The sequence below is a fragment of the Homo sapiens genome, chromosome 10, assembly GCF_000001405.40.
Source record: "Homo sapiens chromosome 10, GRCh38.p14 Primary Assembly".
Taxonomy (NCBI): domain Eukaryota; kingdom Metazoa; phylum Chordata; class Mammalia; order Primates; family Hominidae; genus Homo; species Homo sapiens.
The window spans coordinates 35,115,402-35,131,883 of NC_000010.11; the positions used below are offsets into that span (position 1 = coordinate 35,115,402).

Sequence of the window (16,482 nt, forward strand, 5' to 3'; positions counted from 1 at the left end):
CACAAAAATTTAGCCAGGCATGCTGGCAGGCGCCTGTAATCCCAGCTACTCGGGAGGCTGAGGCAGGAAAATCGCTTGAACCTGGGAGGCAGAGGTTGCAGTGAGCTGAGATCGCGCCACTACACTCTAGCCTGGGTGACAGAGCAATACTCCATCTCAAAAGAAAATATTAACAAGGGAGATAAATTAATTAATCTAAATGTTGGTTCTGGCTGGGTGTGGTGGCTCACACCTGTAAACTCAGCACTTTGGGAGGCCAAGGCATGAGGATCACTTGAGCCCACGAGTTTGAGACCTGCCTGGGCAACATAGTGACACCCCCATCACTACAAAAAAATACAAAAATTAGCTGGGTGTGGCACACACTTGTAGTTCTAGCTACTAGGGGGACTGAGGCAGAAGGATGGGTTGAACCTGGGAGGCTGAGGCTGAAGTGAGCCGAGATTGCGCCACTGCACTCCAGCCTGCATGACAAAGTGAGACCTGGTCTCAAAAAATATAATAAAATAATAAATAAATGTTGATTCTTTGAAGAGAGCAATAAAATTGATAAAAACTGAAACAGGGAAAGAGAAAAGATAAAAATTACCAAGATTTGGCTTGAAAGATGATATCACTACAGATCTGATAGACATTAAAGGATAAAAAAAAATATTATGGGCCGGGCACAGCGGTTCACACCTGTAATCCCAGCACTTTGGGAGGCCGAGGTGGGCAGATAACCTGAGGTCAGGAGTTTGAGACTAGGCTGGCCAACATGGTGAAACTCTGTCTCTACTAAAAATACAAAAATTAGCCAGGTGTGGTGGCAGGCGCCTGTAATCCCAGCTACTCCGGAGGCTGAGGCACAAGAATTCCTTGAACCTGGGAGGTGGAGGTTGTGTAGCAAGCTGAGATCATGCCACTGCACTCCAGCCTGGGCGACGGAGCCAGACTCCATCTCAAAAAAAAAATTATGAACAATTTTATGACAATAAATTTGACAATGGAGACAAAATAGAGAAATTCTCTGAAAGGCATAAACTACAAAACTTACTCTTTTTTAGTAAGAAATAGATAAGCTGAAAAGATCTATATCTATTGTTTCTCTCTGATGATGTTTAATTTCACAGTAATGTACCCAGCTGTGGCTTTTTTTTGTGATCTCGTTTAACCCTCTTTGAATCCTTTCAATCTGAAATTTTCCTTATTTATGATGTAAGAATATGACTTTTGGGGGATTTAAAAAACATTATGTCAAGTATTTAGTAAATGTTCAGTACTCAGTAAATATTAGATGCTCTGGCTGGGCATGGTGGCTCAAGCCTGTAATCCCAGCATTTTGGGAGGCCAATGCAGGCAGATCACAAGGTCAAGAGATTGAGACCATCCTGGTGAAAACCCATCTCTACTAAAAATACAAAAGAATAGCTGGGCGTGGTGGCGCACGCCTGTAGTCCCAGCTACCCGGGAGGCTGAGGTGGGAGAATCGCTTAAACCTGGGAGGTAGAGGTTGCAGTGAGTCGAGACTGTGCCACTGCACTCCAGCCTGGGCGACAGGGTGAGATTCCGTCTCAAAAAAAAAAAAAAAGTTAGCCAGGGCTGATTTCCAGCTTGTTTTGGATATAAACATCCAGAAGAGACATTTCTTCCACCCTTACAATGAAAAAAAAGGTAAACTTCCTTCAAATTACAGAGTATTTTTGAATTTATCGAAGAGTTGAGTTCCCAGGACAAAAAACTGGTCCAAAATCTAAGAAGCAACAGATGCCTGCAGGAAGAGAAGGGCACTAGCTTACTTGGGACAGACACAACCAGATACTGGTATATGTTTAGCTAGAAGAATTGCGGAATTCACGAAGGCTGGTGTGGACTGGCAGAGCACTCAACTCTGTTGCTCAGGCTGGAGTGCAGTGGTATGATCTTGGCTCACTGCAGCCTAGTCTATCTCACAGGCTCAATCCTCCCACCTCAGCTCTCGAGTATTGGGACTATAGATGAGTGCCACCATGCCTGGCATTTTATTTTTTGTAGAGACAAGGTCTCACTATGTTTCCCAGTCTGGTCTTGAACTCCTGAGCTCAAGCAATTCTCCTGCCTCAGCCTCACAAAGTGTTGGAATTACAGGCGTGAGTCACTGCAACTGGCTTTTTTTTTTTTTTTAACTGCTGTAAAAGGCAACTATCGAAAGCAAAAATAGCACAAGTATTGTATGTTTACAGCATTTGTAAAAGTGAAATATATGGCAACATTGGCACAATGAATAGAAGAGTTGGGAATATACTGTTTTAAAGTCCTTCTGCTACATGTGAGTGGTGTATTACTGAAGGTTCCTATTATGTGGAACCTATTTGACTGGACCATTCCATGAAAGTTGTAGGCATGAAAGAATAAAAGTGTTACAGAAATATGTGACCTTGAATTCTAAAATTACACTGCATTACATGTATTTTTATAACAAGTATGCTCTTATGCTTTAAAAAACTGTCTTTGTTTTCTTAATAGACTTGATTTTTTTCAGAACAATTTTAGGTGCACAGCAAAAACGAGCAGAAAGTACACAGTTCCTTTCATCCCCTCCCCCATATATGCACAGCCTCCCTATCAACATCCTGCACCAGCATGTTCTACTTGTTAGAACTGATGAACCTACATTGACACATCATAATCATCCAAAGTGCATACATTAGGCTTCATTCTCAGTGATGTACATTCAATGGGTTTTGACAAATGTGTAATAGCATGCATCCACCATTATAGTATCATGCAGAATAGTTTCACTGCCCAAAAAATCCTGTGCACTCCCCTTGGTCATTCTAAATTTTCATTTCTCTGAAGCTAGAAATCCCAAAGTTAGAGTTGGCCTTTTTCATTCTAAAGTATGTCTTCAATTCTGGGAAATTCTCAGCAATAATTCTTTCACATGTTCTTTTTTTCCCCTTCTGGAATTTCCATTAGAAAAATATTTATGCTTCTACCTTCCACATTTCTTAACTCTCCTTTCATGCTTTCCATTTCTTAGTTCCTTCCTTGCTCTAATCTTCCGGTTCATGAGTGAACTGTCCAGCTATATTCAACCCATCCATTGAGTTATTTCATTAATATTTGTCAACATCCAATTCACAAATGCTTGTTTGTGCTTTGTGTTTCCAACATTCTCCCTTCTTTCTCTGAAGCTCTATTAAGCTTATTTTCAATTCTTATTGTCTGATCCATTCACTTGACTTTCTCTGGTATAGCTAGTTCTACGTATTGTTTTAGCAGTTCTCATGGTCCTCAGATGTTTCATGATTTTCCCTCTGTGCTCATTGCTCATACTTATTCCTTGGGACAATCAGCTGCCTTGGCGATCATGTCTACCTGAGGGAAAGGGAGAAAAGCCTCAATGTTGGTTTGTGCTGCTCCACAAGAGTTTAGGACTTGGGAAAAAGGTATATCTCATGTCAAAGTGCTTCCAGGATAATGATCCAGTTAAAGCATTCCCTGTTTTCCCATTTCAGGCATGTCCAGATCATTTCACAATTCCTCTACTCCAGCCACTGCTACTGATGGAGAGGTAAAGGGAAAGAATAGGGGGACAATGGGGTCCCCAGGCACAGGCTGGCCAATCCACACTCACACACCACACTTCCAAATGTCTTGGCTGGTTCTTTTTTTCTGACCTACTCCTTAAAGGTTGATGTTTTCCAATGCTCCTTGCGTGTTCCTTTTATCTAACATTGGATGGAGTCTCTCTGGCTCACATTTTCTTCACCTACACATAGCAGCCGAACAAATAACATTCAAAGTTTGTTAAATAATTGTGTAACTGGGAAATTCAAGGGACATTTTCAACCACATTCTCAATCTTGGAGGAGGTAAGGCTCAGTTTCAGCTTCAAAGTACCTGTTTTCATTGGTTCAGTTATTTTATCTTAAAAAGGAGGTAAATACTAAACAAAGTTAGAAAAAGAATTCTAAAGGTCCAACTCTCTATTTCTGTGGATCTCCATTTGCACTGTGGAGTTGCTTGAGCCATATAATTTTACCATGTTTATCTCTGGTGGATGTCAGTTAATATTAAGTGGGTTATGGACTAATTTTAGCTCTCTGTGAAAATCAACACACCCAGATTTTAAAACAAATATTTTGGTACTCATATCTAGGTATACTATAATTTTTAGGGAGGTTTTAAAATTAATTTTATTTATTTATTTATTTATTTATTTATTTATTTATTTATTTATTTATAGAGACAGGGTCTCACTCTGTTATCCAGGTTACAGTCCAGTGGTGCAAACTCCTAGACCCAAGGGATCCTCCTGCCTCAGCCTTCCGCCTAGCTGGGACTACAGACATGCTACCACATCTGGCTCATTTTTCTTTTTTTTGGTAAAGATGGGATTTCACTATGTTGCCCAGGCTGATCTCGAACTCCTGGCTTCAAGCAGTCATCCCACTTCGGCCTCCTACCTCAACCTGTGTTGAGATTATAGGCACAGGCCACCTTGCCCAGCTCAGGGAGGTTATTTTTTGAAACTCTTTTCCTCAGACTATATTGCTCTCCTAAGCCAGTCTGAGGTTACTCTTTTGGCTCCACACATTAATATTTATTTCTTATTCTTACCTTTTCAGAACATGGCAAAAAAACGTTTGGCCCCAATTTCTTTGCACAGCCTAGTATCCAGAAAGAGAGAAAACTGATCATCTATGGGGACTGCATGTATTATCAAGCTATGGTATTCAGATTTATTTTATCATTTAAATGATCATTTCCAAATTTTGTATACTAAAAACTCAGATATAGAAGTCCCTGAGTGAATCTGTACACAGAAAGGCTTAGACACAAATACCAAATTAATTGTCATGCCAGGCTGGGCACAGTGGCTCATGCTTATGATTTCAGCTACTAAGGAGGCTGAGTTGGAGGATCGCTTGAGCCTGGGAGGTGGAGGTTGCAGTAAACTGAGATTGCACCACTGCACTCCAGCCTGGGTGACAGAGGGAGACCTTTCTCAATAAATAAATAACATAAAATATAAATTGTCATACCTGGGTGTTGGGATGGCTGGGTTTTCTAGTCTCTGTTATAAAAAGGTTACATTTTATTTGAAGAAAACAAAGTATCCACATGATGGCACTATAACCTACAAAATAAGAGGTTGTCAATTTATGAAGACCAAGAACTTGGTAAATTCTACTTAGAGTACTTACTACTCTAAAATGCTGAAAGGAAATTGCCTAAAGAATGTGCTGAAAAATGGCTGGGCTCATGCGTGTGAAATCTCAGCAATTTGAGAGGCCAAGGCAGGCAGATTGCTTGAGCTCAGGAGTTCGAGACCAGCCTGGGTGACATGGTGGAAACCCCCTCTACGAAAAATACAAAAATTAGCCTGGCATGGTGATGCACACCCGTAGTCCCAGCTACTCGGGAGGCTGTAGTGGGAGGACTGCTTGAGCCCAGGAGGTTGAGACTGCAGCGAGCCAAGATCATGCCACTGCAATCCAGCCTGGGCCATAGAGTAAGAGATCCTGTCTCAAAAAAACAACAAAAAAAAGAATGCTGAAAAATAAGGCATTTTATATACAAGGTAATATGGATATAATTCCCTTATGTTTTATAGAGACTTACTGGCTAATCCTTCATATCCCTTTCTAAGTTCATTTTTCCATGATTTATTTAATAACAGTATCTTAGTCCTAGTGTGAGCACATGACCATGTTGGGAGCTACTTAACGCATTCCCCATAATGTCATGTCTTCCTATAGGCGATTCTAGCAGGCAATTCAGGAGCTATTAGAGAAAGAGTGTTAACTGAGACAAATGCCATCCATGGAGTTTATATTCTGGCCGGAAGATAGGCTTTATTTATTTATTTTTTTGGGATGGAGTCTCACTCACTCTGTCGCCCAGGCTGGAGTGCTGTGGCGCGATCTCAGCTCACTGCAACCCCCGCCTCACAGGCTCAATTGATTCTCCTGCCTCAGCCTCCCAAGTAGCAGCAACTATAGGCACACCATCACGCCCAGCTGATTTTTTGTATTTTTAGTAGAGATGGGGTTTCGCCATGTTGGCCAGGCTGTATGATATGCACTGTATTAAAACCTTTATGTTATTAGCTAATGTATTCTTCTTCACAAACACTTTATGCAGTACTAGGATCCCTGTTCTACAGCTAAAGAAAACTAGGCTGAGAGAGGCGCTAAGGCCACAGAACAAAAATGTGGCATGGAGCCCTTTTCCAATATGAAATATATTGACAATAACAATCTTCCTCTTTTCCTCATGCCTTTCTTCTCCCTTAATGAGGCATGGTGGCACATGTCTGTAGTTCCAGCTACTTAGCCAGCTGAGGTGGGAGGATTGCTTGAGCCCGGGAGGTCGAGGCTACAGTGAACCATGATCGCACTACTGTACTCCAGCCTAGGTGACAGAGTAAGACCCTGTCTCAAAAAAAAAAAAAAAAATAAAAATTAGTTTAGTTTAACGACTGCAATCTTATAGTTTTAAATAATTCAGGAGCTTGGGTTTTTATTATAATATCCTTTAGTGATAGTTTTAAGTAGTTTCCTGAGTACACAGCACATCAGATTTAGAGGTTTAAGTTTACCAAACTCAAAAACCAAAAGCACGTAAACACACATACACAATGGTATTTCCCATGTTGGAACACAGAACTGTTAACTCTCTAATAGAATGAAACATTTTTTGCCAAATGGCAAATCAAAGACATCATAAATCAAGCACATATTATACTTACTTGTTTTTACCTTTCTCATATATTTAAATTGGGCACACTATCTTTGTAAGTCTCAAATCCTAAAGTTTGAATAGAAACGGCCTGCATAGAAATGCTTTTAAGGTGAATCAATTTTCTAGTTTTTCTCTGTATTAAATTAGTAAAATAAAATAGGATAGTCATTTGAAAAATGCTAAATCTTGAGATCTGTGGTCTAGTAGAAAGAGTACAGGGTTAAAAGTTACAACTTCAGGGTTATAGTCCTAATATTACTATCTACTAGCCAAAGGACGTTTTGAAACCTCTCAGCCTCTACTTTCTAATTTATAAAACAAAGGGGTTTATTTTGACTTCTAAGTTCTCAGATTTCACACAAGTCAACAAACAAACTTGGCCAAGTCATAAAATAATAATTATAGTTTACATTTATTTAATGCTTATTTTGTGCCAGGCACAATGTTCTATATACTTTACATGTATTAATTTAATTCATGTAACTTGTGAGGCAGGTAGTAATAATATCCTTATTTTATTTTATTTTATTTATTTATTTTTTTGAGCTAGAGTCTTGCTCCATGGCCCAGGCTGGAGTGCAGTGGCACAATCTTGGCTCACTGCAACCTCCACCCCCTGGGTTCAAGTGGTTCTCATGCCTCGGGCTCTTAAGTAGCTGGGATTACAGGCATGCGCCACCATGCCCAGCTTATTTTTGTATTTTTAGTAGAGATGGGGTTTTGCCATATTAGCCAGGCTGTTTGTTCTCAAACTCCTCACCTCAAGTGATCTGCTCACCTCAGCCTCCCAATGTGCTAGAATTATAGGCGTGGGCCACTGTGCCTGGCCAATATCCCCATTTTAGAGAACCCATCTATATAAAAAAATTAAAAAAATTAGCCAGGCATGGTGGTGCACACCTGTAGTCCTAGCTACTCAGGAGGCTGAGGTGGGAGGATTGCTTGAGCCTGGGAGGTCAAGACTGCAGTGAGCTGTGACGGCACCACTGCACTCCAGCCAGGGTGACAGAGTGAGATCCGATCTACAAACAAGCAAAACATAACAAAAAACAAAACAAAACAAAACAAAGGACTTCATGCCAAACTTAGTTACACTCTGTCAGCTAATAACATCTCACTGGTGTTTCTGCTTCAATTAAAATGTCATTTATTTTTAAAATATATAAAGCATTCTTGCAGTACACAATTCAAGAGGCCACCAAAGATAATTCACAGTCTCCTTTCACTTCTGTTCCTTAAGTTTCAGTCCCTCCTAGTCACTGTAGATTTTCTAAGAGAAATCACATCACCAGAGCTGTATCTAAGGAAAATGAATCAGACAGAAATACTTAGGATGAACTATAATGGAAGTACCAGATGGGTAATAGTGGGAATAAAAAAAAAAGGGATGGATGCAAGTTTCTACAGGCAAAAGCAACAGGACTTAGCATTTAGCATAGGGCCTGGAACATAGCAGGCACTTCAAAATATTTTCTATGTGGCTCCTGAATGACATGAGTAGAAGAATGACCAAAATCGTTTCAAGGTGTAGAGGCAGGATGACAAGGAGCTGAAAAGTGCCATTAACATTGCTAAAACAACAATAAAAAATCAAGATTCAGGTATGAAAGGGGAAGAAGACAAGACATGTAGTTTTGAACCTATGAGTTGGAAATGCTCATGGGCCATGTAAGTGAGAACTGTCAGGTGTTTGGAAATGTGACCTGGTGCTAATGAATGAAGTTGGAAGCTTTGGGTATAAATTTTAGAATTATCTTTCAAAAAAATTGGGTATGATTAGATAACTAAAGAAAATACTGTTTGAGGACAGTATAGAAGATGATGTCCAAGGACAGAAAATTAGTAACTGTCTACATTAGGGAGACAAAGATGAGTGAAACCATGAGAGCCAAGTATCATGAAAATTCAGGAGGGAGACTATGTTAAGAAAGTGGCAGGCTTATGCCTGTAATCCCAACACTTTGGGAAGCCGAGGTGGGAGGATCGCTTTAGACTAGGTACTTGAAGCTGAATGAGCTATGATTGCACCACTGTACTCTAACCTGGGTGACAGAGCGAGACTCTGCCTCTAAGTAAATACATTTAAAAAATAAGGCAGTAGTCATTGGTAGTATCTGATGAGGAAAATAGGTCAAGTAGAATGAAAAATGAGAAAAAGTGGTCAGATTTAGTCATCAGAAAGGCGACAGACAAGTGCAATGGCTCATGCCTATAATCCCAGCACTTTCAGAGGCTAAGGTGGAAGGATTGCTTAAGCCCAGGAGTTCCAGACTAGCCTGGACAAGAGACTCCATGTCTACATATAAAAATAAAAATTAAATTAAAAAAAAAAGAGACGGAAGAGGGCAAAAATTTGGCAGGAAATAACAAACAAATGGGTGGTGAAGAAGTGAATACAACCCCTGCCTTGCCTTCTTCTCTTGAGAAATCTGAAGGTGAGGGGATGGCAAGGGATGGAACAGTAAGCAAATGGGCAAAAAATGAAATGTAAATGTGCAACCCGGAATTGGCAACTCTGTGGCCTTCCTTATAGGGCTAGCAGTGCCAACAGTTTTCAAGAGGCACGATACTAACACATTTGTAGGGAAAGGAGCCAAGAGGACGAAAAAGGCTGTAGGTATGACTCTTGGTAATTGAGCAAGATCTGATATGGGAAAGAAATGACATCTAACTTACAGTTGGATTCGGAGAGGAAAAAGAGGTGCTCCTCCCGACCCAGAAAGGGAGGGAAAGTTTAAGATATTTTGAAGTGAGGAGGGAATATAAGGGTGTGACTGACAGCCCGTATTTTCTCAGAAAAGTAGGTGACCTAGTTGTCCCTCCCCAACAGAGAATTAACTATCACCTAGGTGAGGAGCCCCAAAAGCTAGACACTGGACTAACGTAAACATGAGTAGGTTTTTAAGTATTTATCTTATGGCAGATATTTTTTAAAATCTACAATAATCCTAACAGGTAGGTACTATTTTTCTTCCCATTTAAAAACCTTATGCTTCCCCTAAGAGGATATGACACTTGCCCACAGCTAACAAGCATACATTTAAACCCAGATCCAACTGCATGGTTTTTAAGTCTATTACATCTTACAGCAAGGGTATAGCAGAGGCCATGAACTGATGGGCTTGTAAGTATGTGTATCTCACCTCCAGTATTGATCTTTGTAAAAAAACAGATGAACAAAAAAATATGGTTTGTGCTTTCTGAACTTTATAATTAAGACTACATACATATGGGAGTAAAATACTGGCAAGAAAGGAAACCGTAGAGCAAATACTTTGCAAATAAGAAATTGCCATTCCTTTGATTCTTTTTGATTCATATGAACTCCTGTTACAGAGACAATTGTTGTGGATACATTCCCTTTGACCTACGAAAATTAGATTTGAACAAAGGTTCAGATTGGATTTAGATTAAGTCCTGCTCAGTGAAAATTATGAAAACACTCTGACACTACAGTAACTGATATGAAATAATAAATCCTCACTTAACATTGTCAATAGCTTCTTAGAAACTGGTTTTCAGTGAAACAACGTACAATGAAACCGATTTTTGTTATCATCAATATTATAACGAAATGAAAACAACACTGAATGAAAATTTTTTTGTGGACCTGCTGTAAGTTGTTTGGCTTAAAGCCATGATTTCTAAGAACCTATCGTTAAGTGAGGACCTACTGTACTCTATAACCATGCTGCTATTCTTTATTCCTGATATCCCATTACTTTTTTTATTTTTGAGATGGAGCCTCGCTCTGTCACCCAGACTGGAGTGCAGTGGAACGATCTCAGCTCACTGCAGCCTTGACCTCCCAGGTTCAAGCGATTCTCCTGCCTCAGCCTCCCAACTAGCTGGGACTACAGGCGTCTGCCACCACTCCTAGCTAATTTTTGTATTTTTAGTAGAGATGGGGTTTCACCATGTTGGCCAGGCTGCTCCTGACCTCAGGTGATCTGCCCATGTCTGCCTCCCAAAATGCTGGGATTACAGGCGTGAGCCCCCGGCCGACCTTTCTAATCTAAAAAAAAAAAAAGAGATGAAGTCTCACTGTGTTCCCTAGGCTGGTCTCCTGGGCTCAAGCGATCCTCCCACCTTGGCCTCCCGAAGTGTTGGGATTACAGGCCCGAGCCAGCGGGCCCAGCATGCGGACCATTTCCAGTCAAATACTGGGATAAACTGCAATAAATGACCCTAAGAAGCAGGTGAATTGTCTCAGGAGCTCAAGCTTCTTTTGGAGAAGGACTCAACCAGCTGTGACTGGCTGTGAATATGGAGGAAAAGGGCCACTAGTCAAGGTATGTAGATAGCTTTTAGAAGTCAGAAGAAGCACGCCTGCAGTCCCAGCTACTCAGGAGGCTGAGGCCGGAGGATCGCTTGAGCCTGGGGAGATAGAGGTTGCAGAGAGCCGAGACCACGCCACTGCAGCCCAGCCTGGACAGAGGTGAGACGCTCGCGGACCTTAGCTTGGGGTTGGCGGCGTTAGGAAGAAACCGACCTCGAGACCCTGAAGACCTGACAACAGCCGTTACTCTGGCTGACAAGTCATTGGATTTCTGGCGCACGCGCGGCGCGGCACGGGCAGCTTCCGGTTTCCAGCCTTGCCCCCGCCCCTACCTTCCGCCCCACCTCCAGGCTAGTTCCTCCTCTTGGCCCCGCCCCCTGACCTTCCTTCTCCCTATCCCTAGGCCCCGCCCCCTGACCCGCACCTTCCCGCCGCCCCTCCCCGGTTCCATTTCATTGTTGGATTGTGGCGCTTCACTCCTGCTGGCGGCCGGCAGGGGGCGGAGTTCGAGCCTGGATTTTTTTCCTCGGGGCCTCCCCCGGGAGGCCGTCCCGGCGTGGGGGAGGGGAGGACGGGGCGGGAGGACGCGGTTCGGTCGGCTGCAGCGCTACTTTTGGTCCGGGGTCGGCAGGGAGGCCGCGGCTACCGCATCACAGCTGACGTGAGGACTACGTGGGGCCGCTGCCGGCTCCGGGTTGCTGGGCGGCGGCGCCGCTGCTGAGCGGCGGTCGGGCTCGCCGTCTCCACCTCCTCGCGTCCGTAATCAGTGACGAGGTCCGCTACGTAAATCCCTTTGCGGCGGGTAAGTGGTGCGTCGGCTCCGGCCCCGAGACCCAGCAGCGGGCGACGCGGCGCAGGAGGTGGAGGTGGAGGCAGGAGGCGGAGCGGAGCCGGGTGCGGTGGAGCAGCAGAGGCCGAGCGGAGCCGTGGGCGGCGGGCCGGGACCCCGGGGCCGGGCCAAGGACTGGCGGGGCAGCCGCGAGTTCACCTGACGCGGCCCCTCGCTCGGCGCCCCCGAGGCCGCCGGCTCGCCGCCCCACGCCCGCTTCGTGCGCTCAGCTGCCCCGGGACCCGCCTGCCTCCTCGCGAACTTGGGACGAGTTGGAAAATCCTCCCTGAGAGAGCCGTGCGGCTCAGGGGAGCGGTTTAACTCGGAAAAGGAAAAGGAATCCAGAAGTAAGGACCTCGGATTTGAGTGCCCCCAGCGCCTCTGCCCCACTTTACGAGCGCAGTTTAGACGAAAGCGGACGCAGCCCGTTTTCCCCCAAAACCTGGGCCGGAGGGCCTCGCAGCTGAGTCATTCGGTCCCGGGCGCGGGCAGTCTCCGGAGTGGGAAGGGCAGAGCCGCGACCGCTCTCGGAAGGCGCATTTTCCCTTCTGCCTGAGTCTTGCCTTTTTAGGGCCATCTGGTAAGGTTTCCAGAGCCTGTTGAATCTGGGGAATAAACACATTATTAAACATACTTTTTTTTTTTGAGACGGAGTCTTGCTGTTACCCAGGCTGGAATGCAGGGGCATGATCTCGGCTCACTGCAGCCTCTGCCTCCTGGGTTCAAGCGATTCTCTTGCCTCAGCCTCCCGAGTAGCTGGGATTACAGGCATGCGCCACCACGCCTGCTAATTTTTGTATTTTTAGTAGAGATGGGGTTTTACCATGTTGGTCAGGCTGGTCTCGAACTCCTGACCTTCCACCCACCTCGGCCTCCCAAAGTGCTGGGATTACAGGCGTGAGCCGCCGCGCCTGGCCTCAGCATGTTTCTTGATCCTGTTGCGTTTTATTTGTATATCAGATACCTGAGTTTGAAATCACTTAGGGGTTTCCTGCATGCTGCTCAGTGAAGCAGCGGTGAGTTTGTAATCACATTTTAAGAAATTGGGACTTACAGGGCCAGTCTCAAAGTGTCACTGAAATTGAAAGAGCTCCTTTAACACTGTGGCTTACGTACGTGACTCAGTTTCCTTTCTACTTAATTTGCCGGGCAGATGAGGGTGTACCTTTCCCTTGAAACAAAGATCTAGATTGAACAGTGAGAGGTCCGCTGTGAACATTGCATCAGATTACATGAATAAACCACGCTGTTTTTTATTTGTTGTTTTTTTGTTTTTTGCTTTGAGCGCCACGTTTTTTTCCTAGTCTTTTTTTTTTTTTTTTTGAGACGGGGTCTCGCTCTGTCGCCCAGGCTGGAGTGCAGTGGTCCGCTCTCAGCTCACTGCAAGCTCCGCCTCCTGGGTTCACGCCATTCTCCTGCCTCAGCCTCCTGAGTAGCTGGGACTACAGGCGCCCGCCACCACGCCTGGCTAATTTTTTGTATTTTTAGTAGAAACGGGGTTTCACAGTGTTAGCCAGGATGGTCTCGATCTCCTGACCTCGTGATCCGCCCGCGTCGGCCTCCCAAAGTGCTGGGATTACAGGCATGAGCCACCGCTCCCGGCCTTTTTTTCCTAGTCTTGATTCTTTTTTTGGATAAACTTTCCCTTCCTAAGTCATAGTAGTCTTAAAGTCTTTCAATCTAAAGTAATTTTTTTCCCAAAGGAAGGCAAATTGCACACAATATGTTTTGGCCAATAAATGCTAAGTATTAAAACTGATGTTTAAAGAACTATGTATTGATCCCAACACAGCTTTAACAAATATATTAAAATGGTTTTGATCCTGAATGAGTAAACACTTAAAGCATTGTCAGTATTCACACAACTTTGGCGAATCTGTAAATAGATGAATATAACACTTACTTTCCCAGTGAATTGGTGATGGATATGGAATCATTTTGGTGATTGCGAAGTTGTAATTACGGTGATGTTTTGTGTACATATTTTGGTGACAGTATATGAATAAATTTTTATTGAATGCGTAAACATAGGACATTTTTATTTTTAGTCTTTTTGTTTTTGCATTGTCCCTGAAAGTTAATGAAATTTACTTCTTCTTCCTGAATTTTAAACTCTGGAATCCATAGTTAATAGGCTGTATTCCAGTTTCCTACTCAGGTGAGTCACTGCCTAATCAAAATACAAAATCTTGCTTAGGGTTATGACCATTTCATGAAAAGTAGGGAAGAGTTTTGAATTATTAACATATATAAGGAATCCTGACTGAATCTTTACCAACATAGACATATATTTCTGATCCTTTTTCTCCCAAGTTGTATTCCCTGCAAATTAAGTATTGGGCCAGAAGATTGAGCTAGGTTTATTGTTTAAGTGGATGTTCTTACTGAAAAGCTCTCAAATGTCCTGTTCCTTTTAGATAGACTTCTTAAAATAAAACTGAACAGTGCAAACACTTAATAGCTGAACGATTGAGAGACGTTATTTTTTAGAGCAGTTTTACAACCATTGATATTTTTATATTTCCTTACCAACATTGATTGATAAGGAAATAAGCCTGAAATACCGAATTTTATTGTTTCTACTTAAGTAAATGGATGGATTCCATATGTAAAAGTCAGCTTTGAAAATAGTTATTATTGTACATTGAATACAGTTTTGATATTATCAACACAGGAACTTAAAAATCCAGTTTAGGCCGGGCATGGTGGCTCACGCCTGTAATCCCAGCATTTTGGGAGGCTGAGGCAGGCGGATCGCCTGAGGTCAGGAGTTCAAGACCAGCCTAACCAACATGAAGAAACCCCGTCTCTACTAAAAATACAAAATTAGCCGGGCATGGTGGCCCATGCCTGTAATTGTGGCTACTTGGGAGGCTGAGACTGGAGAATTGCTTGAACCCCGGAGGCGGAGGGTGCAGTGAGCCAAGATCAAGCCATTGCATTCCAGCCTGGGCAACAAGAGCCAAACTCAGTCTCAAAAAAAAAAAAAAAAAAAAAAATTTTTTTTGGAAAAATGTATCTCATTACACAATAGGTAGAAATGAACATTTTAAATAATTATGTTAATAATCTCCTTTTAGACAATACATTTTAAATGTCTTTTGCAATGGGAACTCCACAATAAAGACTGTGCTGTTCTTAAGAATAAATGCTTTTACTCATAGGTTTTCATTTTCTGATACTGTATATCCAGTAGAGAATAAGCAAGAACAAAGAAGAAAACCTAAGGATATCATTAGTGGAAATTTTTCTTGATACTACTTATGGAAATGCCTTAAGTCTTACTGCACTGAATAATGATGTTTTGTTCAATGATGGACCACATATATCCCATAAGATTATAATGGAGCTGAAGAATTCCTGTTACCTAGTTATGTCCTAGCTGTCCTAATGTCAGAGGGCAGAGTATTACCTTTTCTATGTTTAGGTATGTTTAGACACACAAATACATTCCACTGTGTTCTAATCGTCTGCAGTATATAGTACAGTAACATGCTGTACAGGTTTTGTAGCCTAGGAGCAACAGGCTATCCCATTTGGCATAGGTGTGTAGTCGGTTGTGCCATCTAGGTTTGTTTAAGAGCAGTTTACAATGTTCGCAGAATGAAGTTGCCTAATATTTCTAAGAATGTATCCCCATTATTAAGTGAAGCATAACTAATTCAGTTATAGCAAGGTTTACAAAGTAAAATGATATCTATTTGCACATTTCATGACAGGCCTTCCTAGGAGTGATAGAGGAAATTACTGGCAACGTGTGTGTGAAGTAGTTTTTATAAGTAGAGGAAATGCATAGGCTATAAAACTATATGGTAGTTTTGCTTAAAGACTGCTTAAATAACCATCTCGTTGGTCAGGAAGGATGCTTACCTCTAAGAAAACCTTACTAGCAACTCATCCTCTTGTCAGACTTTTTTGAAGCCTCTCAGATCTCCACAAATGAGAAACATCTTTGTGCATGTTTTCTAAACAGTAGTATAACCAGGCCATTTAAATATCAAGATACTAATAAAATCCTGTGAACGTTTAAGAGTGGAGCTAATGTGATGCTAATATTTTCCCTGAGAATTTCACAAAATAAACTCAGTGTCTTTAAAGTTATCTTAGTAAAGGTTTTTTTTTGTGTGTTTTTTTAAACATAGCAGACTTAAATCATCCAACTTAGAATAGCAAAATAGCAGATAGTTTTGTTTATATTCTTAATCTCAATTTTTTTATTGATAGCACAAAAAATGATTTTTTTTTGGCTTAGAAATGTTTTTAACTGGAATTTATATCTTAGCACTGATTATGGTGAAAGTATCCACTTTGGAATTATGACAACTGTATCACACATAAAGACCCACATTACTGAATATGGGTGCTTGGAATGTTTTTACTCTTAAAATTTCTGGAGGAGTAAAATTAGGCATGTTTCTGCACTTAGAAAGATACAGGTTTTGTTCAGATGTGTAAGATAGGACCAATCTAGGTAAGTAAAATAATGGTAAAATTCTTTTTTCTGATCTTAAGCTAATTCAGGTAGTTTATCTCCTTTGTCAGATTTACTATCTAGTAGTTAATACATTTATACTTAATACGTAGATATGTGTTTTCAGATGTACTTAATGTGCAGTAAAGAAGCATGCTATTGAAAACAAAACAAAACAACCTTACAGTGATT

General features: G+C 42.0%; 2 protein-coding genes across 54 annotated transcripts in view, besides 3 other annotated features; one reads left to right on the forward strand and one right to left on the reverse strand.

Moving 5' to 3' along the window:
- CUL2 (cullin 2) overlaps positions 1-11,605 on the reverse strand; it is a 118,456-nt gene extending 106,851 nt beyond the window's left edge. The window contains exons 1-2 of one of the 4 annotated variants that reach the window (XM_047425852.1): positions 11,204-11,265; positions 5,010-6,401 (exon numbers count right to left, since the gene is read on the reverse strand). The gene's annotated coding sequence lies outside the window, so the exon portion shown is untranslated. Of the gene's footprint in view, positions 1-5,009; positions 6,402-11,203; positions 11,266-11,414 lie in introns of those variants that run through there. The other 3 variants (XM_011519743.1, XM_011519745.2, XM_011519744.1) reach the window with 3 other exon arrangements.
- Positions 11,333-11,852: a silencer, noted in NCBI's record as "silent region_2299". NCBI's record gives its function as "represses an Ori minimal core promoter by ATAC-STARR-seq in GM12878 lymphoblastoid cells {active_cell/tissue: GM12878}" and the evidence as "EXISTENCE:reporter gene assay evidence [ECO:0000049][PMID:35858748]".
- Positions 11,445-16,482, forward strand: part of CREM (cAMP responsive element modulator) — an 86,113-nt gene continuing 81,075 nt past the window's right edge. For 39 of the 50 annotated variants that reach the window (NR_172139.1, NR_172138.1, XM_024447824.2 and 36 more), the window contains exon 1: positions 11,445-11,792. The gene's annotated coding sequence lies outside the window, so the exon portion shown is untranslated. Of the gene's footprint in view, positions 11,793-11,825; positions 12,167-16,482 lie in introns of those variants that run through there. The other 11 variants (NM_183013.3, NM_001267562.2, NM_001352467.2 and 8 more) reach the window with 2 other exon arrangements.
- Positions 11,913-12,052: a silencer, noted in NCBI's record as "silent region_2300". NCBI's record gives its function as "represses an Ori minimal core promoter by ATAC-STARR-seq in GM12878 lymphoblastoid cells {active_cell/tissue: GM12878}" and the evidence as "EXISTENCE:reporter gene assay evidence [ECO:0000049][PMID:35858748]".
- Positions 12,413-12,482: an enhancer, noted in NCBI's record as "active region_3259". NCBI's record gives its function as "activates an Ori minimal core promoter by ATAC-STARR-seq in GM12878 lymphoblastoid cells {active_cell/tissue: GM12878}" and the evidence as "EXISTENCE:reporter gene assay evidence [ECO:0000049][PMID:35858748]".